Source organism: Homo sapiens, chromosome 2, assembly GCF_000001405.40.
Source record: "Homo sapiens chromosome 2, GRCh38.p14 Primary Assembly".
Taxonomy (NCBI): Eukaryota; Metazoa; Chordata; class Mammalia; order Primates; family Hominidae; genus Homo; species Homo sapiens.
In genome coordinates this window covers 185,373,982-185,399,063 of record NC_000002.12, presented here as the reverse complement: position 1 = coordinate 185,399,063, position 25,082 = coordinate 185,373,982, and the positions used below count along the sequence as shown (strand labels likewise).

Below are 25,082 nucleotides of genomic sequence, written 5' to 3'. Positions count from 1 at the left end.
TAGCTCTTCCTAGGCAAATCATCTACACAATTGGATTAATAACGTGGAAACACCAGTGAGCCTATTGATTCGGTTTTTCAAAATTCTGAAGTTTTAAACAAATACCTTTGAATCCCTTACCATGAAATTAGGTACATTGTCATGAGATTTTCCGGCCATTCTACACTTTATGACAAAAACATAAAATAAGCCACAGAGAAAATGTTAATAATATCTGAATATTATGAGAAAATTTGCCTATAAAAGTATATTAAAAAGTCTCATTAATCAGGCATCCTCTGTAGTGACAAGGTTGCTTCATGAGCTACATGAAGTAATTTAGAGAACACTTCCACTTCTGCAGCTAAGTCTGAATTAAACAACAAAAAAGTTTGAGCTCTCATCATTTTAATACCAAATAACTTTTACCTGTGGATATAAAACTTTATTTAGGTTTAATTTCTCAATGATTTCTGGATGCATATTTTATTAAAAATCTGTTTATTAAGAGCTAAAATAATTATGTTTGTATACTATTTACTGAATGATTATTAAATATACTAATATTTTTAGAATGGTCTCTGTCTGTCAGGGTTACATCAGGAAAGATAGCCTACTCGAGTGAGATTACTCATAAGTTGAACATATCACCTACTGTCCAATCCCTGCTAATCTGAAATTAATAAGTACACCAGAACAAGAAGCATAAACTGGAACTGTAATTAAGCCAATGTGCACAATCACTCTAGTGATTTAAAAAATTCAACAAAGGAACTATTAGTACATATATAGTCAAAGTTAAGAATATCAACAACACATGGAGTAGTGGTATCACAGAGCAAAATTTGGGAGGCATTATCATCTGTTGAACACTAAGGTCAATGGGAGAGAGTCATTACTCAAACTCATGGAGAGAATGGCTGTAGGACAGGAATTGTGTCTTTAAGTAGAATAACACAGGTGATCCTTGTTAATCTGAAAGACTAGAAAAAGCTCACTAGTATCTCTCCCCTCTTTACATTTCAGTGTTGGGCTTGTACTCTCATTGCTTAACCTTAACGAGAAGCCACACGGCAAGGAAATCTTCATGTAGTCCATGCAGGTGAGCTTCCCAGGGTACAGGGCAGGATGGAAAGAGTGGAGTTGTGGTAGAGAAGGGACACAAATTTACATGAAATTAATGTACATTTTTATACATAGTCTGTCTACAAACATTTTTCTCCTCAAATATTAATTCAATAGGATAAGCATTTTCCCTAAATAACAGTGAGAAAAAAGAGATAAAAGGAGATTGAGTAAGTTTCCTATGGTCATAGACTTATTAATTATGTGAGGTTAGATTGTAACTGTATAATTTAGCCTACTACAGGTGTTTTTTCTGAATATCAATATTTCAAATTCTTTCTCTAGCCCATATGCATAAATATATGTTTATGTGTGTGTGTGTATATATCTATATGAATAAAAAACACATATGTGTGTGTGTATTATATATAGGTACACAATAGTTTCTGGGTGCCATTACCACTATGTGTCCATTTTAATGTTAAAATTGCCCTAAATGTGTGACTTTGAAATACAGAAACATGCATAGATGCATACTGTTTTACTATTTTGTTTTGATTTTATGCAATAATACCTAAAATTATTAAATGATGATATATCTGTGAAGTCAATAAGAAATACAGAGTCCACAACCAGAGTGAGAACTTCTATCAATGTCTTACCCATTCTCTCTCAATTGGTTCCTTTTGGATGATGCCTTTCAGCCAACTGAATGGTTCTTTTTCCAAAGACCACCCATGGACCAATCTGCATGTACTCCCCCATTCTGAGCCCATAAAAACCCTGGACTCAGCCTCAGGGGGCTACCCACTTTCAGGGCCCTCTTGCAGCCAATGGCTACCCACTTTTGGGCTCCCTCTTACTGCTGAGGGCAACCCACTTTCAGGGTCCCCTCTTATATTTGAGAGCTTTCCTGTGTCACTCAATAAAATTATCTGCCTTACTCACTTTCTGGTTTCCATGAACCTTATTCCTCTTGGTCAGGGGACAAGAGCCCAGACCTTGCTGAGCTGTGGGTGGCAGAAACAAGAGAGCTGTAACATACCCGTGTTTGCCATGCTGCCAGCATGAAGAAGTGAAGCCACTGGATACCACTCCCTACTGCTTGCTGAGCAATGGGTGAGAAAAAGCCGCTGAATGGCATTCCCTCCTGCTTGCTGAACTACAAAAGGTGCAACATTTCTTGGGGGCTCAGACCTCAGGACTCCCTGAAGAAGAGCTGTAACATCCCTTGGGGCTCCACAATTGATGGCATCTCCTAATTTTGGAGTACCACCATGTTCCCCTTATCTAGATGCTCGTGCCCAATGCAGAAGCTGCTTGTGGCACACGCAGTTCAGCTGCAGGCTGTGTGGAGCCAGGGTGGGCATGGGATCTGGGCTGGTAGTGCAAGCTGAGTACAATCAGCTGGACCTAGTGGGCAGAGTGACCCCAGTAGGCCTGTACGAGTCCCCAGGCAGAGGTCATGGCAGCCACAGAGATTTCTAGCTGGCGAAGCAGTACCAAAAGAATCCTGTAACATGTGTGATATGTAATTGAGGATCTGCTTAAAAAAGGTTATTTAATTGCAGCTCTGTATACCTGTTGAGATATTTCTGACTAAAATTAAAGTATGGCAGTGAAAATGAGTCAGAATGTACCCTGTATGCTAAGTGGCTTAGCATTTTTGGTTCATGTGTTTTCTATAAATCAATACTCTGATGTTATTATTATATAACTGGTATTTTTTCTTTTATAATTTTAGATACCATTTGTAGGACTTGAAAGATGATACCAAAGCAATTTTCTATTTTAGTCACTGTATTTAAACTAAATGTTATCAAATGAAAATTAATAAGATATTATTTTGTTTTATTTAAAAATAGAGTAAACTCACTCTCACGTTGTTAGAAATGACACATACACTTTCCTTCTATTGTTATGAAGGCTTCATTGAAGTAAAAGTACAGAAATTCTGTGAAAAAGAAAGGCTTAATAGTGAGAAGACAGCAGGGTACAGGGAGGATTATTATAAGTAGTAAAATATATTTGAATTAATTACTTGGAGGAATAAAATGTACATGATGAAGTGTATGCAAGAAAACAAAGCCAAGAATATATACCGTGGAAGCTACTCTTTCCAGTAGAATTTTGTAGAAGTTCTAGGTTCAGTTTCACGATAAGATGTCAGTCACATGGATGGAATAAATAGATCAAAATCAGGCAATTAAATTAGATTAAATCAAACCAAATACAGTATGAAGGTATTGGTAAGCACCCCTTTTCTCTGCAAGACATGAAAACTTGAACCTATAAAGCAAACAATCAGTGGAAATAATGGATATTTTCTCTTGCATAAATGTTGTACCCCCAAATTATTAGTTCTTTCATTTTCTCTCTCTCTTTTTTCCTAATATGAGTGTCAACAGCTAGAGGGCTGATTCAGTGCTTCTTTACCCTAAAGTAAGCCTACAAATTATCATACCTCATTTTTCATTCTGTTTATTCACCTTAATATCCATATTGGAATCCCTATTGAGAACAGCTTCCCAATCCCACAGGAACATAATTTTGCTTGCATAATATCAGCAGAAAGAAGGGAGTCACACATATACTGGATTAAACTCTAGACCAGAAAAATGATACTTGTGACACAATTGGCTTCATTAATTAGGTGTGTAGATTAGATAATAATATTTTAATAATGTTCATATTAATTAACATTATTATGTTAATTTTTGATAATTTTGATAATTTTCCATGGCTACTCAAAACAATATTCTAATTTATTTTGCAGATACACATGTCAGAGTGTGTATTTAGAGATAAACTGACATCCAATCTGCAGCCTGCATGCAAAAGTCTTACGCAAAAAAGAAAGAAGCTCTAAAGCAAGTGTGGTAAAATGTTAACATTTGAGAATTTGAAAGAAAGGTATACAGAAATATTTGTGCTATTTTGTTAAAGTTTCATTTGTCTGAAATTACTGTGATTATAGAAGAATGTCTTTGTTTTTACACATACACACTGAATTATTTCAAAGTAATGGGGCAAATGTTTCAGAAAAAAGTATATACATATCTATCATCTATCTGCATGTGAGTATAGCGTGTCGATACATGTATGCAAGAGAATCTTATAAAGTGAGCTGAGCAATTATTATACAAAGTAAGTAAGAAAATACAAACAAGCTTCTAGGTGTTTTCAATTTACATGATAATTTATAAATCTATATAGAAAATAAATAATAGTAGAATAAGTAGAATATGGATCCTGAAAGAGAAACCATATTATGCAAACATATTATTTCAATGAATGAGTTAATGTGGGGAGCCAAATCTCAGAGTTATTCAAGGAGATATTGAATAAATAAGGCTGGGTGCAGTGGCTCATGCCTGTAATCCCAGCACTTTGGGAGGCAGAGGCAGGCAAATCACTTGAGGTCAGGAGTTCGAGACCAGTCTGGCAAACATGATGAAACTCTGCCTCTACTAAAAATACAAAAGTTAGCCAGGCGTGGTGGCAAGCACCTGTAATCTCAGCTACTCAGGAGGCTGAGTCAGTAGTATCACTTGAACCCAGGAGGTGGAGGTTACAGTGAGCGAGATTGCATCACTGCACTCCAGCCTGGGCAATAGAGCAAAACTCAGTCTCAAAAAAAAGAAAAAAATTGCATAAATAAAATATTACTAGAATTCTACTGTGAAAGGAAAGTTGAAGATGGCTAAATAATTCCTAAAAATTAACAAGATTGTGAATACAGTAACACAATAAAATATGTGAGACACACATAATGCACTTCACCAAATATTGAACTGGGGAACTGGAAGATCAAGCTGAAAAATCTTACCAGAATCTGGAACAAAAATGCAAACACTTTACTAAAGAAAAGATAAAATATTTAGATAAATTATTCAGGTGACCATATGTTACTTTTAAAAGAAATAATACAGCACATAGAGAAGAAAAAGAACTAATGAAAAAATATACATATATATACCCGAAGGGAAGAATTATCAGCTTAAAAGGGACCACATGAATCATGTATAATTAATAAAAAAAGATTCAAATTTAAATATATGTCAGTGAATTATAACTTCAAATTTGTAAATTCAAACCAGACTCAAATTTAAATATATATCAGTGAATTAAAACTTCAAATTTATAAATTCAAACCAGTCACTGCTTTCAGAATAAACAAAACAAATACAGTAATGTGAACAAATATTATGTTTCATGTCAGATTTTTACTCCCAACTCTAATAATTCACTCATGTCTAAATATTTAATAAATCTAGATTTTTTTTGAAAAATAACACAATATTCTAACCAGACCATAGTCCCATTGCTTTATGTGGGTGTTATAGGGAGCTATTTTAATTATATGTTTGAATTACAGAAAATTGAGAATTTAACAGGCTAATAAATATTAGTTTTCTAATTGAAGCCATTTTGATAAAATAAACAACCTGAGCCTAGAGTCAGGTTTTTGAGCAGGTTATTGGCAGAGTCCCTCATTATTGACAGAGTAGGAGCATCGCTGTCTTGGACAAGTACCGTCATTTTAAATTTCACCTTGATCAAAAACCACCTAAATCCAAAGGGCATCAGCCTAATGGCTAAGGTCAGCATGACCGTAAACCACAAATAACATCTCTGACCAGAAATAGTCCAAAGCCCTCCCTGACCAGAGACATCCCAGGCCCGAGATAACCTCCCCTCCAGACAGAGAGATGTCAGCCCCAAGATAACCTCCCCTCTGACCAAAGACATTCCAGCCGTAACAGAAACTTCTCCCAGACACAGAAACATTCCAAGCTCTCACAACAATAAATGCCCTTAGTCTGTAAAAGAGATCACTCCTGACCAAAGTCAGCCAGAAGCCCCTGTCAGGTTTATTCTCCAAAATAAGCCTGTCTTTGACTGTTGAGCCACTTTTCGTGTTTGTTTCCTCTTTCTTTAACTCTTACAATTATGTGAACTGGTTATCCACCATGTAAGATTTTCTTCATCGTCATCTGGACACTTCAGAGTAAAAATCATTTTATAGGAATTATTTTGAGAATTGGATGTTTTCTTGACTTATAATATTGTCTGTCATTTCAACTGACAAGACTAGGTTAAGAAAACAACATTATTTCAATAGCTTTATAATAATAAAGACTGTGTTGCTGCATGTAACAGAAATCTTGCTTTAGTGAATAGGTGGTAGTTTTCTTCAAGCGGCAAGGAGTACAGAGGTATACATCCCATGGCTACTGCAGCTAGTCCACAAAGTCATCAAAGACCCAGGCACATACTAGCTTTGTCTTTACTTTCTTTATGATGGAGCTTTTAGCCTTTTGGTTTAAAAATGGCTTCTCCACACCTAGGCACTGAGTTCAAATTCTAGTAAAAAATAAAATTGTAAGATAAAAAACAAAAAGATATGCACATATTAATTATGGTTTTTTTTAAGTTAGAAAAACAGTAACTTTCTGTAATCTGCAACTAGTATATTTCTGTTTATAACACTGGTCAGAATGATGTCATATGGCTATATCTAGTCGCAAGGAAACCTAGGGAGATGAGAAATTTTAACTGGAGACTGCTGTCATGAACAAAATTAGAGATCAGTTAGTAATAATTAAGTAAAATATCTATATTATTAAAGCAAATATCACTGTTGGTAACAAGTATACAATAAACAAAAACTTTGCCATAATCTAATATTCTTAAATATATTTCTGGGGTGAGGAAAACCAATTGAGACATATATATTGATAATTTTATTTGCTTCGATGAGGCTTTCATGAGCAAGTTTGTGGTAATTCAAAACTGACTGACATTTAACAAAAATCAACTGAAAGCATTAACTGGTTATTTATTGAATGCCTAATATTAGTTAGGCACTAAAGTCATGAAGAAGAAAGAAAAGTGTCCTGTTCTAATAGAGTTTATATTCTAGCTGGGAAATAAAGGAAAATTGGAAGAAAAACATAACAGTACACACCTGAGACATAGTTTGAGATGGTGATGTTAATGACAAACTTTTTCATTTCTATACCTCAAATTCTTTTGGCCTCACATCTGGGGCATTCATATTCCCATCAAAATACTCCAAATATAAAAGTAATCTTCCAATTTCTTCTCAGCAGACAACTCAATGGCTCAGATTAGTCAATATCAAACTCCATTTCTCCTAGCCACAGAGTGCATTTACTAAATGGATCTGCCTGAGGTATGTTATCATGTTTCCCTCAAATAAATTAGCTTGGAATGCCCATAAATTATTTTACTATATGTAACTGGCTGACTCTGCTGAATTAGGGCAATTTAATTTTTCTGGTGCTAGCAATTCTGTCACTATGTAATCAAATAAACAGAAGAACAATGCAGGCATTTGCTTTCATCTGGAGGGTGTTTAGGAACATCTATTGTAATAGTGACACATCTTAGAGTAGCAAGTGTATGGATTTAAACAGAAGTACAAAATTGCTAACACCACAAATGTATAGTATGGTTTATAATTACTTTTTTAAGATGCATATTCTATTGTTATTGATGATTCTTGTTTTCTTGGATTTTATTTCTTTAAGAATTGTTTCTGTGGTAGGTTGACTAATGTCTCCCAAAGATATTCATGTCCTAATCCCCAGAAACTACAAATGTTACCTTATATGCTAAAAAGGACTTTGCAGATGTGACAATAGGAGATGTGACAACACAAGCAAAAAGTTAGAGTGATGCAAGACAAAGAGGCAGGAGCTAAATAATGCAGGCAGTCTCTCAAAGCTGAAAAAAAAAAAAAGAAAAAAAAAAAATCCCATAGACCTCCCAGGTTTTATTGGTTTTCTTGATTGGAATAAAATAAAATGATTTATCAAAGTAAAATTAAATCAATATTTTAAAAGAGTACATTAAAAACAAATTAAAGTAATGTGTTGAATTGTATATCAAGGTGGTATATTGAAAATAATTAGTTCAAACGGAATCACACCACTGTATGCTCAGTGAATATTTAAAAAAATCTTTTTGAATCATGATGAAAATAACAGAGGACACACACTTGCAAACATATATTTTATTTTGGAGGTGTAGTTGTAGGCATAATGTTATTTTCTTTTGATTTCCCATTCAACAATCATATAAACAGATTCTCTTTTGGAGTAAAAAACAAACCTATATTCACAGGACAATAAAAGTAGCAAAAAATAAATGTAGACCACAGACTGTGACATACAGTAAATGGTGAAGTAGGGCACTCAGCTGCAAATAATCAGTCCCTTCATTAAAGTAAACCTCAGCTGGCAAAGACTGGTGGAATTAACTCTTTCAAAACCCTGGAATCTATTCTAAATTTTGCAGCATCCAAGGGGCCATTTAAGGAGAAAAGGGGCAGCGGAATTTTGGTAAAAACGCACCTACGAACGTAACATCCTCCATTCCCCAGCCAGCAACTGCATCCGTGGGGACAGGGTTGGCATTCCTGGTGTGGCTCATTGGTAACAGAGATTTTTTTTTTATATATACTTTAAGTTTTAGGGTACATGTGCACAACGTGCAGGTTTGATACATATGTATACATGTGCCATGTTGGTGGGCTGCACCCATTAACTCTTCATTTAACATTAGGTATATCTCCTAATGCTATCTCTCCCTAATATGGATTTGTCTTAAAAATAAGTTCATGCGTTTGAGCTGTCTGGTGGTTCCCTGAAGGACATGCAGAGGATGACCTTTGTTTCTCCCTCTTTAGGCTGAAGGGGCTTTCTGGGTATCTGCTGGAAGATTAAAGACATTTATTGCCTATGCCTGCCTAGGGCAAGGGACAGGATACAGGGCAAGAAGAAGACAGATCCAAAAGCCTGGGAAAACAGAGGCCAAAGACGAAATTCCTTGGGAGAGTAAGAGTTCAGAACAGCAACTACGCATATAGGAGAAAACAAAGTGCAACTTTTCCTCAGAAAAGATGGACTTGGTGGATCTGTGGGCCCGGTGCAAGCAAGAGGTGGAGGCTGACACAAAATTGTAGTTGGCCTGGCTCAGGGGTGAAAAGAGATCCATCTCAGATGCTCAAAGATGGAGAAAGAAGTGTGTTGTGTTGTGTTGTGTTGTGTTTTCCTCCAGGCATTTAAGATAACCAATCCAACCAATCATATCTCAGGACGCTGAAGACAGAATGTTTGCAGGCTCTCCCAGAAAATAGCTAAGGAGGACATTTGTATTCTTCCTCTTTTCATGTCATCGGTACTTCCTCTCTATATGGATCACTGAAGTGTAACATTTTATGATTCATGTTTGAGTATGGGAAGCAGGGGGTGTGACCCCTTATTGTTACACTTCAGTCTGTTTTACCACATTTTTTTGCACATAAGGTTCAAAATCAACAACCCAGTAGTGTTTTTACTTTCCTTGCCATTCTTTTCAAGTGGATTTTTAATCCACTGAGGACCTTCTGGAGAAAGTAGGCTATGGTTTTGGTCAGTATTTTCATATTTCTGGATTCCTAGGCCACGCTACCATCTATTAGAGTTTCATTGTTTATATTATCTGGCATATTGAGACCAAAACAAAACAACAGAGAAGCCTTTAAATATTGTAAGAGTATTGAAAACTGGAAAAATATTTGAAAAATTTTGTGTGCTAATGTATAATGTAAAATTAAGTTCATAGAACAATGATGAAAATAAGTGATATTTATACAATATGATCCCAATTCCTAAATGTGTGAGGTTTTTTTCCTCCCTCAAATTATTTTTTATTTGTTTGTTTGTGTACTTGAAGGTGATCTCCCTTGTAAATAAGAGTAAAATTTCTAAGATGGTCTGTAAATATTTTAAATATAGAATCCGTATATTTTCAGGTTAAGAGTGCAAACCCTGGAGGCAACAACCCGTATTTTAATCCTGACCAGTCAATTTTCTAACTGTACTGCCTTGGTCCAGTCACTTACCTACGTGCCTCAGCTTTCATATATTTGATATGGAAATAATTAAAATATCTACCTTGTAGAGTTATGAGAATTAAATAATTTTTTAAATGTGCCAATTATACCAAATGTTCTCTAAATGCCCCAAAATAATCAGACTAGAATCAGGAATGAAAATAGTAGATATGAGATGAGGCAAGAAACAATGTCTTAGTTGTCATAGTTGTTGCACACTGGAAAAAAATCTGTTCATTTAAAATATTTATATTTTTAGGTATGTGGGCTCACCTACCCTAGTAGACCATGCCCCATGACTTTACATGGAAAGAAAGCATTCTTCATATGAGTATTTTCCAGTAGTGAGCATTCTCAATGTCTTAAAATATCTTAGAACTTATTTCCAAACTCACAATGCAAATCTATGCAGATTAAATCCTTCTACCTACATGAATGGCCAGCTAGTTCCTAGGTGAGTAAAAAAAAATTGAATTATTTCATTCTTAAAGGGAAGAAACAATTTATGCTTATATTGTAATTATAGTTTAAGCATTACAAAATGTAGCATGATTACTCTAGAAAAATGTTACACAACAGTAATACTGAATGTAATCTTTTATTTTATTATTCTTATTTTTTTGGCAGGGTCTCATTCTGTCACCCAGGCTGGAGCACAGTGGTAGTCAGAGCTCACTGCAGCCTTAACCTCCCGGGCTCAAGCAATCCTCCCACCTCAACAGTCAGAGTAGCTGGGACTACAAGCATGAGCCAGCACACCTGGTCAGTGAATGTAATATTTTATATGCATCAGTTTCCATATAACTAAAGCTTTTAAGGAAAAATGTTTACTCTGACAATAGCCATATTTATACCAGTTATTCGCTAAACTGAGTATCCTAGCCATGGGATTCTAATATGTTTTCCATTAAAACAAAACAAAACAAAATGAAAATTATTTTTCAATCATCAAGTGTCAATTTTGCTGTTGTCAAGAGGTATGCCTCTTCTTACCCTTTATAAGACACTATTTTTATTATGCTGTGGTGTATGAAACCTGGTAACTTTATTCAAGTGTACAATTCTTGCTCATGGGCTTTTAAACGTATAATTCAACTTTTAAAAAATCTGAGATTTCTTTCCAGTTTGTTGGCTGAGTCTGGATAGTCCACATTGTCAGATTAATGGAATAAAAATGTGTCACATCATAAAGCCTAGAACTGTTGGAATAAACTTTGCCAATATTACTTTATTTTTAAAACATATCTTTTGTATATTGCTAACTAGGATTGTTTTTGCCTTCTAATTTTGAAATGTGCGGGTGTTATTTCACCAAGTAACTAAGCCTTTTCTTCGCAAATACATCTTAATAAGTACTTTTAATTTAAATGAGTTCTTCTAATAGTGATTCCTAAGACGTCCAAGTGTGATTTAAAGAGAGGGCTCTCCAAATATCAAATATATAATTATTTTAAATTAATTTTATGGATTGCAAGGTGCCAAATAAAGGAGGTGATGATCAATGATAATATAAGCTCAAAATCACCTGGAAATAATTGTAAGTTCAATATATTTTATATTAACAAATTTTGTGGAAAGCTATTAATTAAAATTTATATATAATATGAATTGTGTCTTCCTGCTTCCGCATCTCGTTTACTTATCTGGTTGTATAAGAAGGCGTATGATATTCTTTGTACCCACCTCCCAACACTCCAACCCCCAAAATGATAGATTGAGAATATATTTCACTGTAGATCCATGTAAAGCTATTGCATTTGAAAATGAGGCCACAGCATGAGAAAGCAAAGACATATTTGTGCACTCTATGCTGAAGTTTTTGTGTTCATAAAAACATAGGAAGAATTTTTTTTATTTTTCGTTCTTTATTTTATTTATTTATTTTTTTTAATTTTTGAGATGGAGTCCCATTCTGTCACCCAGGCTGGAGTCCAGTGGCTCAATCTCGGCTCACTGCAACCTCCGCCTCCTGGGTTCAAGTGATTCTCTTGACTGAGCCTCCTGAGTAGCTTGGGGTTACAGTGCCTGCAACCACACCCAGCTAATTTTTGTATTTTTAGTAGAGATGGGGTTTCGCCATGTTGGCCAGGCTGGTCTCAAACTGCTGACCTCAGGTGATCTGCCCTCCTTGGCCTCCCAAAGTGCTGGGATTACAAGTGTGAGCCACTGCTCCCAGCCCATAGGTAGAATATTTTATAAAATGTTCATTTTTCTATAATAAACAAATATATTTAATATTTAAAAAATCAATTCAACTTCTAATCTCATTAATCCTCTTAAATTAAGAGTTTGCTTGGCATATTTTCAATTTTTAATATGTAGCTGTGGGGTACTATAAGTTGGTTATATTGAAACATATTTCTCAAATAATAAAAATAATCATAGGCAATAGGAAATTACTCAGTACCGTTTTGATGTTCATGTTTAACCTTTTTTTTTTGACAAACCAACAGTAATTCAGGCTTAATTTATTTCCTTATTTGACTATTACTTAACAGACTATATATTACTTCTTAAAGTATTTCTAAAATAACAATTATATTGATATTCACTTATATTTTATCTTTCTCCCTCTCTCTCATCCATAAACACACACACACACACACACACACACACACACACAGGCACAAAAGTTCTCCTGAGGAACTTTAACTCATATATAATCATACTTATTATCTTTTAAACATTGTTTCAAAGTCAATAATGTAAATTAATGCTTTACTTTTACTACTTAATCTTACAGTCTTAATACATGTAGTTTTATGCATTTTACTCCAGAAAATTTATAGGCATAATGATTAAGAAATTGGTGAAATTCATAATAACAAAGTAAAATATAGTCTAAATGAACTCTCTTTATAGGGTCACCTTTCTTGGAAATTTATTCTTAAGACTAATGTACAGGCAGGCACAGTGGTTCATGCCTGTAATCCCAACCTTTGGGAGGCTAAGGCAGGAGGATCACTTGAGGCCAGGAGTTCAAGACCAGCCTGGGCAATATGGCAAGACCCCACTTCTACAAAACATTAAAAGCTATAGCTGGGTGTGGTGACACACACCTGTAGTTCTTGCTACTCAGAAGGCTGAGGCAGAAGGATCACTTGAGCCCAGGAGGTGGAGGCTGCAGTGAGCCATGATTGTGTCACTGCATTCCAGCATGGGCGACAAGGCAAAACTCTGTCAAAAACAAACCCCTAGTGTAACATTACACACTCAGAATATCTAAAAGATAAAAGAATGTCTAGTAATGGTGTGGATGTGGAACAATTGGGTATTTCACACCTTTCTGGTAGGAATGCCATGACTCTGACCCCTAGTCGAGGTATAAAACCACCATTTAATCCTGTAGCTTTATAAACATGTGTCTGAGGAGTTTTGAGGTGGTTTGTACTGGATTGTAGGTATTATTTATTGATATCTTACTTTGGTCATTAGTCAGTAGTTTAATAGATTTAGTTATACTAAGTTTCTTTTTAACTTTGGAATAATTACTACTTGGCCATGCTGTATTATATCTAATACAAAGTTTGGTTTTGATTTGTTTAGATACTTCAGCATGACATGACAGGGGCCATAGGGCCTATAAAATAACTTGCACACTGAGCCTGAGACTTAGGTTATTCATTTAATTTCACATCATTCAGCCTTTTATGAGTTTGCAAGAGTAGAGTTATCTTACATCTGCACTGGCACAGCACTATGTTTATCTCCAGGGAAGCTGAGAATCCTGTTACTGACCATTAGTAAAGGGAAGAATGAGCTGTGCTAGCTAATGATTTATAACCTGTTGTTTAAAATTCAAAACTCTCATGGAACACATGGTACTAACTTGTCTCTCTTGTTTAGAGAAACAGACATTAATCATTTGCTCCTGGCTTAATAGAGAAAAAGCCTGGCTTTAGCCAAGTGACAAATGGGATAAAAGACCCCTCAGTAAACTTGTATATGGGCTCCCCTGTCACTGAAAACTATTGCACATACCTTGGTGGTTCATAATCTAAAACCAAAGTATTTCCTGCGAGATGAAGAAAGCATGTTAGAGGACTACATGTGAATGATTTTGGACTTCTGTGCTATTGCCTGTGTTTTCTTTTCCTTGTTGTTCCATATCCTTTATGTTTATTAAGGCATTCCTCGCATGAGTATGCCATGTGCAGTCTTGTCTTTCCACTGATGTAACCCAGTGATATTATTGCAATGATTATTCCCATGCAGAATTTGTCTTCACTTCCTGAATTTTTGTCCTTTAGGTTCTTGTTTATATTTTTATCCTCAATAGTATTTACTAGTTTAATTTTCCAATTTTCCACCATTAACATTAATATTGACTCTGAGAGCCTATAGAATATTGCCATGTTCAAGGATCCTGGAGGCAGAAGAAGAGAGTATAGCATGGTCTTGGGTAAGTTTCTGACTTATTTTTAACTTGAGATATACGGCTCTTTTTAAAGATGTTATGCTACATTTGCCACTGCAAGTACCCATTGCCTTAAAATTGCAAGAATTTGGCAAAATATAAAATAAGAGCTCACACACTACCTTCCTGTAGGTAATATATAGCAACCTACAAATTAAGAGCCATGCTTTAATTACAGTTTAGTTTCCAAACATGGGGGAATAAGAATAGGAAATTTAAATGAATGAATGATTTTTTTATTATTATGTTTTTTATAAGAAATATTTTATTTTATTATTTTTTAAATTGATGTATAAGTTACAAATAAAAATTACATATCCTGTCATATTTGGCAATAGGAATTAACCTTTAGGGCATTAGGCTAAGTAAAATAAGTCAGGTATTAAATGAATAATCTTAATACCTAAATTTAAAAAGCAAAAATTGTTTGTTAGTTATCTCTCCATTAGGGGTATGCTTGTTACACTTAACTAATATTCCTGTTCTTGAGTTAGGGCCCCTTTCCACTATCCAAGGAAAGCTAGGAAATATCGATTCCTTTTATAATTTTTTTTTTCCATTTCAGTTGAACACCTTATTTTAGTGTGAAATTTTTTCAAATAATTTCAAATAACTTGCCTTCAGGTCATATAGGTAAATAATTATTTCATTTCCTTTAAAGTGTTGCATAACATTATATTGACCCATTAACTACTGATTTTAGTTTTTCACTAAGAAGAAATTCTTCCATTTTTAACTTCCAATTTCTCGAAGCAGACAATAATAATGTAAGTGTATTTCTCTATGTATGGAAGGTTTTAGGTAGCTAGGACTATTAAAATGAATGTAGATGCATAGGTTTTATGAAATATTTTTCCTTTAAGCAAATAGAAAATACTGGTTATACTAAGAGATTAGATCAGGAAAGAAGTTTTTGTAAAATTAGTCCAAAGATAAAACTGTTTATGAGGCCAGGTGCGGTGGCTCACGCTTGTAATCCCGGCAATTTGGGAGGCCGAGGTGGGCGGATCACGAGGTCAGGAGATCGAGACCATCGTGGCTAACATGGTGAAACCCTGTCTCTACTAAAAATACAAAAAATTAGCCAGGCATGGTGGCGGGCGCCTGTAGTCCCAGCTACTCAGGAGGCTGAGGCAGGAGAATGGTGTGAACCCGGGAGGTGGAGCTTGCAGTGAACCGAGCCTGTGCCACTGCACTCCAGCCTGGGTGACAGAGCGAGACTCTGTCTCAAAAAAAAAAAAAACCTATTTATGAAAACAGGACAAAATATTTATATCCAAAAGATCATAGCTATGGCATTAACAATCATTTCTTTGAACATGTTCTATTTTAAATCATCTCTTGAGCTCTTTACAAATATTATTTTTCAACCTCTCCTTTTACATTAAAAGCCTGGAATTTTTAAAACTATCTCAACTGCTTTTAATTAACTCATCAAGCTGAAGCTAATACATGTTGTATGTTGGCTATTTAAAAAGTGAGTTGACTTTATACATAAATTCTATAAAATGCTATTACTCAACAATTGTGGACAAACAGCTTCCTTAATAAAGATTTCCTTTAAATCTGTAGGTGCCCAGAGAACACTTTTAACAAATATAAAATGTATTTCAGTCTAACATATTTCTAAAATTTCACTACTTTTTCTTTTTCTCCCTGGAAGCATGATTCACAGATTTGGTAGGATATAAAAAGGTAAAAAATTGAGTGCATAATCCAGGGCTGCTGAAAGAAGTCTTGAGTTTGTCTTTTTAAAAGACATTCATTCTATATAAACACAGGTGTTCGACATATAGTCAAGTCTAGAATAATTCCCATCTAAAAATATGTACTGTGTGTGTGGGAAGGGGTGGGAGGGTGTAGAGGGTGGGTGTAGATGTGGTTGAGTTACCATCAGTTGAATAGTTTTTAAGTAAATGTTTAAAAACATATGGTAGACCTCTTGGTACATCAAGTAATTTTAGAAAACATATTGATAGATCACTAAGTAATGTTAAATATAAGTTACACTATAAAGAATTACAAAGAATTGGGCCTGGAGCGGTGGCTCGCGCCTGTAATCCCAGCACTTTGGGAGGCCAAGGTGGGTGGATCACCTGAGGTCAGGAGTTTAAGACCAGCCTGGCCAACATGGTGAAACCTTGTCTCTGCTAAAAATACAAAATTAGCCGGATGTGGTGGCACGTGCCTGTAATCCCAGCTACAAGGGAGGCTGAGGCAGGAGAATCGCTTGAAGGCAGGAGTCAGAGGTTGCAGTCAGCTGATATCATGCTATTGTACTCCAGCCTGGGCAAAAAGAGCAACTCCTTCTCAAAAAAAAAAAAAAAAATAATAATAAATTACAAATTATTTTCTTTTTAAATCTTTCTTAATTTTTCTGATTAAATCAAGGAAAAACAAGATTCTGTTAGCACATCAAATGTAATTTTATGAAACTTGATAATTTCAATCCAAAAAAGATGAAAACTGATATTGGGTTAGAGCTAAATAATATTTCTCATTGTGCTTACTTTTATAGCGGGAAAAAACTTGTTTTCATTTATGGTGGGATTAGAAAGTTTTTTTTTTAAATAAATGTGTTTAAGTAAAAACAAATCAATATAAATCAAATATTAAATATTTTATGCTATAGTTGTTGCTCACATAATGCATATCTTGAAAAGGCAATATGTATGTATGATACAAATTAAAGAAACTCAGGCCTGATCTGATTTATGTGCCACTGACAAGTGTGTGCTAACCCAATCAATATTGTAAATTAAAATGAAGTACTAGAATTTTGCTGAATCACTTAAGCTGTTATGTTAGTCACAACAGAGTTGGCAATTGACTGAGAAATACATGCACAACAAAAGCAAGATAAAATTAACAATAAGGGACTTTTAAAAGAAGCAGTTATAAGTGATTCATTCATGTTTCACCAAGAGTCTTAAACTTGACTGCTAGGAATTAGAAGGATTTGGGTTGTTAGTGAAGAAATTTGAGAGAATGATCAGTTCAGTTCAAAGAAAGCATAAGAACAGACTTCAGAATCATGAGTAGTCTGTCGTGTTTGAGAGTTTGCAGTTTTGTAGTGTGTAATATGCAATTAAACCATAAAGAAGAGTTAGGAATAACATCCTATTTCTAAGGATTTTTTACTTCAACTTATAATCAAGTCATTCTCAAGTCTATTCCCTTATGAGGGAGATTTTAGAAAATACTAATACATGGGCTCCATCTCAGGCCAAATAAACCAAAATTTGTAAGCTAAGGCTAAGGCATTATTGTTTTATTTTTGTCATTGTTACTTTTAAGCTCCCCAGGCAATTTTACAAAGTGCAACCAGATTGTTCAACCACTGCTTTCAGGAACGAGCCACATTACAAACTTTTTACAAGGAATGTAACATAATTCAAAACTTATTGTTGATAGAAATATCTGTTTAATTAAACAATGAGTTATTGGATTTTCAGAGAAAGTCTGAAGGAACATTACACAAATAAAAGTTGTAGTTTAAGAAATAAATTATTATAGTCTAGGTAAGATATACTTATCTTTAAATGAGGATAGTAGAATAGAAAAAAATAAAATGAAATGTTAAAACATGATGAAAGTTTAGGGGTGTAAGTTTGCCAACTCAATATTTAGAGGACATAGTGCAAGTGTTCTTTTTTTTTGTGGATTTTTTTTGTGTGTGGAGATGATGCGTTTGTGTTAATATCTAACACTTCCTATCATCCTTGACATGTTGACACACCCTTTTCTGAAAATGGACTGCTATTGAAATAGATGTCGATATGTAAACAAAGACTTTACCACATACTGTGGTTGGTTGTTTGGATTATTTGTGGCTATAAACAGAAAACTAGCTCCCAAATTTAATTTATGAGTTAAATTTTACCCTTGACTTTATTATCTCATTGATTCAAGCAATATAATTATTAGTACTAGGTCATTTTAGATGAAAAAGGAGATGACCTGATGTGAATTTTCACACCTAGTCTTATATATGTGTATTGAATTAATAGTAGGATATTAAACATATGTATATAACTTTAATTCTGGGATACATGTGCAGAATATGCAGGTTTGTTTCATAGGTATACATGTGCCATGATGGTTTGGGGCACCTATCAATTTCTCATCCAGGTTTTAAGCCCCCCATGCATTAGGCATTTGTCTTAATGCTCTCCCTCCCCTTGCCCCCAACCCCCTGACAGGCCCTGGTGTGTGTTGTTTCCCTCCCTGTGTCCATGTGTTCACATTGTTCAACTCCCACTAATAAGTAAGAACATGTGGTGTTTGGTTTTCTGTTCCTGTGTTAGTTTGCTGAGAATGATGGCTTCCTGCTTCATCCATGTTCCTGCAAAGGACGTGATCTCATTCTTTCTTATGGCTTAATGGTATTCCATGCTGTATGTGTAGCACATTCATTATCCGGTCTATCATTGATATGTTTTTGGGTTGGTTCCAAGTCTTTGCTATTGTAAATAGTGCTGCAATAAACATACATGTGCATGTGTCTTTATAGTAGAATGACTTATAATCTTTTGTTTATATACCCAATAATGGGATTGCTGGGTCAAATGGTATTTCTGGTTCTAGATTCTTGAGGAATCACCACACCGTCTTCCACAATGGTTGAACTAATTTACATTCCCACCAGCAGTGTAATAGTGTTCCTCTTTCTCCATAGCCTTGCCAGCATCTATTGTTTCCTGACTTTTTAATAATCACCATTCTGACTGGTGTGAGATGGTATCTCATTGCAGTTTTGATTTGCATTTCTGTAATGATCAGTCATAATGAAGTTTTTTTTCATATCTTTGTTGGCCACATAAATGTCTTGAGAAGTGTCTATTCATATCCTTTGCCCAGTTTTTGATGAGGTTGTTTGTTTTTTTCTTGTAAATTTGTGTAAGCTCCTTATTGACTCTGGATATTCGACCTTTGTCAGATGGGTAGGTTGTAAAAATTTTCTCCCATTCCATAAGTTGCCTGTTCACTCTGATGCTAGTTTCTTTTGTTGTGCAAAAGCCCTTTAGTTTAATGAGATCCCAATTGTCAATTTTGCTTTTATTGTAATTGCTTTTGGCATTTTTGTCATGAAGTCTTTCCTCATGCCTATGTCCTGAATGGTATTGCCTAGGTTTTTTTCTAGGGTTCTTATGGTTTTGGGTTTTATATTCAAGTCTTTAAACCATCTTGAGTTAATTTTTGTGTAAGGCATAAGGAAGAGGTGCAGTTTTAGTTTTCTTCTTATGGCTAGCCAGTTTTCCCAGTACCATTTATTAAGTAGGGAATCCTTTCCCTATGGCTTGGTTTTGTCAGGTTTGTCAAAGATCAGATGGCTGTAGATGTGTGGTCTGATTTCTGAAGTCTCTATTCTGTTACATTGGTCTAAATGTATGTTTTGATACCATGCTGTTTTCGATACTATACCCTTGTAGTATAGTTTGAAGTAAGGTAGGATGATGCCTCCAGCTTTTTTCTTTTTGTTTAGGACTGTCTTGGCTATACAGGTTCTTTTTTGGTTCCATATGAAATTTAAAGTAGTTTCTTCTAATTCTAAGAAGAAAGTACAATGGTAACTTGATAGGAATAGCATTGAATCTATAAATTACTTTGGACAGTATGGCTGTTTTCACAATATTGATTCTTTTTATCCATGAGCATGGAATAAATTTTCCATTTGTTTGATTTCTCTCTTATTATTTCCTTGGGCAGTGCTTTCTAGTTCTCCTTGAAGAGGTCCTTCATGTCCCTTGTAAGTTGTATTCTAGGTATTTTATTCTCTTTGTAGCAATTGTGAATGGGAGTTCATTCATGATTTGGCTCTCTGTTTGTCTGTTGCTGGTATAAAGGAATGCTTGTGATTTTTGCAGATTGATTTTTTTATCCTGAGAGTTTGCTGAAGTTGCTTATCAGCTAAAGGAGTTTTTGGGCTGAGACGGTGGGGTTTTCTAAATATACACAATCAAGTCATCTGTAAACAGAGACAATTTGACTTCCTCTCTTCCTATTTGAATGTCTTTTATTTCTTTCTCTTGACTGATTGCCTGACCAGAACTTCCAATACTATGTCCAATAGGAGTGATGAGAAGAGGGCATGTTTGTTTGTGCCAGTTTTCAAAGGGAATGCTTCCAGCTTTTGCCCATTCAGTGTAATATTGGCTGTGGGTTTGTCAAAAAAGCTTATTATTTTGAGGTATATTCCATCAACACCTAGTTTATTGAGAGTTTTTAACATGAAGGGATGTTGAATTTTATCGAAGGCCTTTTCTGCATCTATTGAGATAATCATGTGGTTTTTGTCATTGGTTCTTTTTATGTGATGGATTACATTTATTGATTTGCATCTTAGGGATGAAGCCAACTTGATAGTGGTGGATAAACTTTTGGATGTGATGCTGGATTTGGTTTGCCAATATTTTATTGAGGATTTTCGCATCAATGTTATCAGGGGTATTGGCCTGGAGTTTTATTTTTTGTTGTGTTTCTGCCGGGTTTTGGTGTCAGGATGATGCTGGCCTCATAGAATGCATTAGGGAGGAGACCCTCCTTTTCTAATGTTTGGAATAGTTTCAGAAGGAATGAGACTAGCTCCTCTTTGTACCTCTGTTAGAATTTGGCTGTGAATCCATCTGGCCCTGGGCTTTTTTTTTTTTTTTTTTGTGGGGGGGGGTTGTTAGGCTATTAATTACTGCCTCAATTTCAGAACTTGTTACTGGTCTATTCAGGGATTCAACTTCTTCCTGGTTTAGTTTTGGGAGGGTACATGTGTCCAGGAGTTTATCCATTTCTTATAGATTTTCTAGTTTATTTGCATAGAGGTTTTTATAGTATTTTCTGATGGTAGTTTGTATTTCTGTGCGATCAGTGTGATATCCCTTTTATCATTTTTTATTGTGTCTGTTTGATTCTTTTCTCTTTTCTTCTTTAATTAGTCTAGCTAGTAGTCTATCTATTTTGTTAAATTTTTCAAAAAATCAGCTGCTTGATTCATTGATTTTTGAAGGGATTTTTTTGTCTCTATCTCCTTCAGTTCTGCTATGCTCTTAGTTATTTCTTGTCTGCTGGCTTTTATTTGTTTCCTCTTGCTTCTCTAGTTCTTTTAATTGTGATGTTAAGGTGTTGATTTGAGATCTTTCCTGCTTTCTGACACGGACAGTTCGTGCCATAAATTTCCCTCTTAACACTGCTTTAGATGTTTCCCAGAGATTCTGGTATGGATGGAGGGGTCAAGATGGCCCAATAGAAACAGCTCCGGTCTGCAGTTCCCAGCGGGACCAATGCAGAAGGCGTGTGATTTCTGCATTTCCAACTGAGGTACCCAGTTCATCTCCTTGGGACTGGTTTGGCAGTGGGTGCAACCCATGGAGAGTGAGCAGAAGCAGGGTGGGGCATCGGTTACCCGGGAAGTGCAAGGAGCGGGACGGGGAGCACCTCCCTCCCCCAGCCAAGGGAAGTGGTGAGAGACTGCGCTACCCGTCCTGGGTACTATGCTTTTTCCACGGATTTTTGCAATCCACAGTTCAGGAGATTCCCTCGTGGGCCTACACCACCAGGGCCCTGCGTTTCAAGCACAAAACTGGGCAGCTGTTTGGGCATGCTGTGAGCTATCTGCAGGAGTTTTGTTCATACCCTAGTGGTGCCTGGAACCCCAGTGAGACACTGGGAGAAACGTCCAATCCCCTGGAAAGGGGGCTGAAGTCAGGGAGCCAAGTGGTCTCCCTCGGTGGGTCCCACTCCCACAGAGCCCAGCAAGTTAAGAAATTTTGGCTTGAAATTCTCACTACCAGCAGAGCAGTCTGGAGTTGACCTGGGATAATGAAGCTTGGTTGGGGGAGGGACATCCGCCATTACTGAGGCTTTGGTAGGCAGTTTTCCCCTAACAGTGCTAAGGAGACTGGGAGGTTTGGACTGAGCAGAATTCACCACTTGGCGGCAAAGAGGCTATGGCCAGACTGCTTCTCTAGATTCTGCCTCACTGGGCAGGGCATCTCTGAAGGAAATGAAGCAGCCCCAGTCAGGGGCTTACAGATAAAACTCTCATTTCCCTGGGACAGAGCACCTGGGATGAGGGGTGGCACAGGCACAGCTTCAGCAGACTTAATCATTCCTGCCTGCCAGCTCTGAAGAGAGCAGTGGATCTTCACAAGGGAGATTCTCCCAGCACAGCACACCAGCTCTGCTATGGGACAGACTGCCTCCTCACGTGGGTCCCTGACCCTGTGCCTCGTAACTGGGAGAGACCTCCCAACAGGGGTCGACAGACACCTCATACAGGAGAGCTCCTACTGGCATCAGGCTGGTGCCCCTCTGGGACTAAGCTTCCAGAGGAAGGAGTGAACAGCAATCTTTGCTGTTTTGCAGCCTCCACTGGTGATACCCAGGCAAACAGGGTCTGGAGTGGACCACCAGGAAACTGCAGCAGACCTGCAGAAGTATGACCTGGCTGTTAGAAGAAAAACTAACAAACAGAAACAGCAGCAACAACAATGTCAACATAAAAGTTTATATTTTTATTTAATCATTTATTCTGGCATGTCTTAGATGTGAAAACTGTGACGACAATAATATTCAAATTGAAAAATTGTGAGGATTAAAAATTAAAGTTATTTATATCAATTTGTAGTCATTGATAAATTTGTTCTTCTTGAAGATTAATATGATAGCAAGTAGGCATTTTGAATTGATTCCGATCAGAATCTTATAAAAGCAGGCACAGGTAAAGGTTTTGGATTAAATAAATGAATAAAATGGCAAGTAAGAAATGGTAGCGTCAGCATTTTATTAAGATATCAACTTCTCCTAATATATATGGAAGAAAGAAATAAGAGTTTTGACTAAAAAAGGAGACATATTAACAAATAAATATTTGCATTCCCAGCCACGACTGTGGTGTTATAAAGAATAAACCACATGAATTTATTTACTTGGTGAAAACAAAAGAAGAAAAGTTTTTACTTTGAAATAAACTATCCTACTGATTGCTCTATAGCATTTTGTAGCACTAGACAGTATAGATATTTGCCAGAAAAGGATAATTTACTTATCTATTTTCTTAATTTAGAAAATACAGTACATAGAATGTTATACTTAGTGAGTCATACAGTTTCAATACTATATCATAGTACCATAGTGTGACTTTTTTGAATAAAACACACTATTTACTGTATCTTTTAAAATATGTAGTATAGAATATATTTAAACAATTTTTAAATCTGAGTTTTTACTGCTAACATATTAAGCATATATATACTTTTTTTACAATTACTAATACAGAAAAATAAATGTCATTTAAAAATCTTTCTAGAATATTACATCTTGCCTTTATGTGTTATTCATATATGATTTCTATTTTCTAGGCATTTTATAAATAATTTAATAAGTATCCTTTTGGTGCCTATGACCAACTCCAATCCATTAGTAGAGTCATTTGCTGTTAAAGATCAAAACCCTAAAACAAAATAGTGATATTATCTAGGTCACTTGGTGAGCACTAGTAATGCTCATTATTATGTGAAATTGCCCAGCTGTCGATTCCTGTTTTTCTGTCTTTTAAAGCTTATGCAACTTGTGTTGCAAAGGCATCTTATAAAAATATTGATTTAAGCTAAATACCTCATTGGGCAGAACTTTCACAGGCACTACACAGAATGACTGAAACATGAGTAACGGTGTGGAGGAGATTTCTCTTTCAAATGATTGATGCATACACCACCCTCCTCTCAGCCTTTTCCTCTGACAACAAATGTCTCCAGACCATAGGGAAATTATCAATAATATAATATATGGATAAAATAGCTAGGGAGATAGGTAAAGAGAGAAATGGAAAGAGGAAAGAGAGGAAGAGAGAAAAAGAGAGAGAATAGCACTTTAAGATAATATGCATGATTGATTCTTGATGAACAGAAACTATAGAATCTATGAACAATAAAATATTATTGAAGAAGCAAAGCTATAAAAGTATGGGTATGAAAGAGAACTGCTGCAGAAAGTAGATGCCCTATAAAGTGTGCTCTGTATCACAAAGTGATGGTTAGCAAAGCAGGAAAAATCAATATATTGAGAGATTTGGAATTGCTATAGAGCTTTCAGGCAATTCATTTCCAAACGTTGACCAAAGTTTCTTTATTACTGGAAGAAAGAGTGAAAATTATGTCTTCCTATCAAAATAGACAGCTTGGGTTGGCAATAAAGGACAGTGCTCTTAGGTCAGTAGGGATGACTGAGGGGAACAGGGAACACTGGACTCCAGAAGACAATTGCTGAAGTTGCTATCTTCATCAATATATGTCCTTGCCCATTGTGAAAAAATAGGTCAGTATAGAGGCTAATGTATCATACTCAATTTAACAAAAGATACATTTAATTACCATCTTTACCTGCAGCTTCCTTCTTAATAATGCAAGAATATTTGAATGCCTTCTTAATAATGTAAGAATATTTGAACTCTTTAACTTTGATCTCCCTCTTTTCTCTTTTCAAAGTTAGAGATGTCTAAATGTTTATTTGCACTCTTTATTTTTTAATAAACTTTTAATTTTATAATCATTTTAGATTTGCAGAAAAGTTGTGACAATTGCACAGACAGTTTCTACATACAGTTTCCCCTATTGTTAACAGCTTACATTACTGTGGTACATTTGTCATAAATAATGAGCAAATATTGATAAATTGTTATTAATTAAAGTCTATTACTTCAATTTATTGGTTTTTGTTTAATGT

The 25,082-nt window shown here is 35.5% G+C and overlaps 1 long non-coding RNA gene across 1 annotated transcript; it reads left to right on the top strand.

The window, feature by feature from the left end:
- The first annotated feature begins 1,005 nt into the window (after positions 1-1,005).
- LOC107985832 (uncharacterized) lies at positions 1,006-3,957 on the top strand. The gene is made up of 3 exons (XR_001739228.3): positions 1,006-1,081; positions 2,029-2,163; positions 3,821-3,957. It is a non-coding gene; the product is annotated as an uncharacterized LOC107985832 (long non-coding RNA).
- Positions 3,958-25,082: the final 21,125 nt, after the last annotated feature.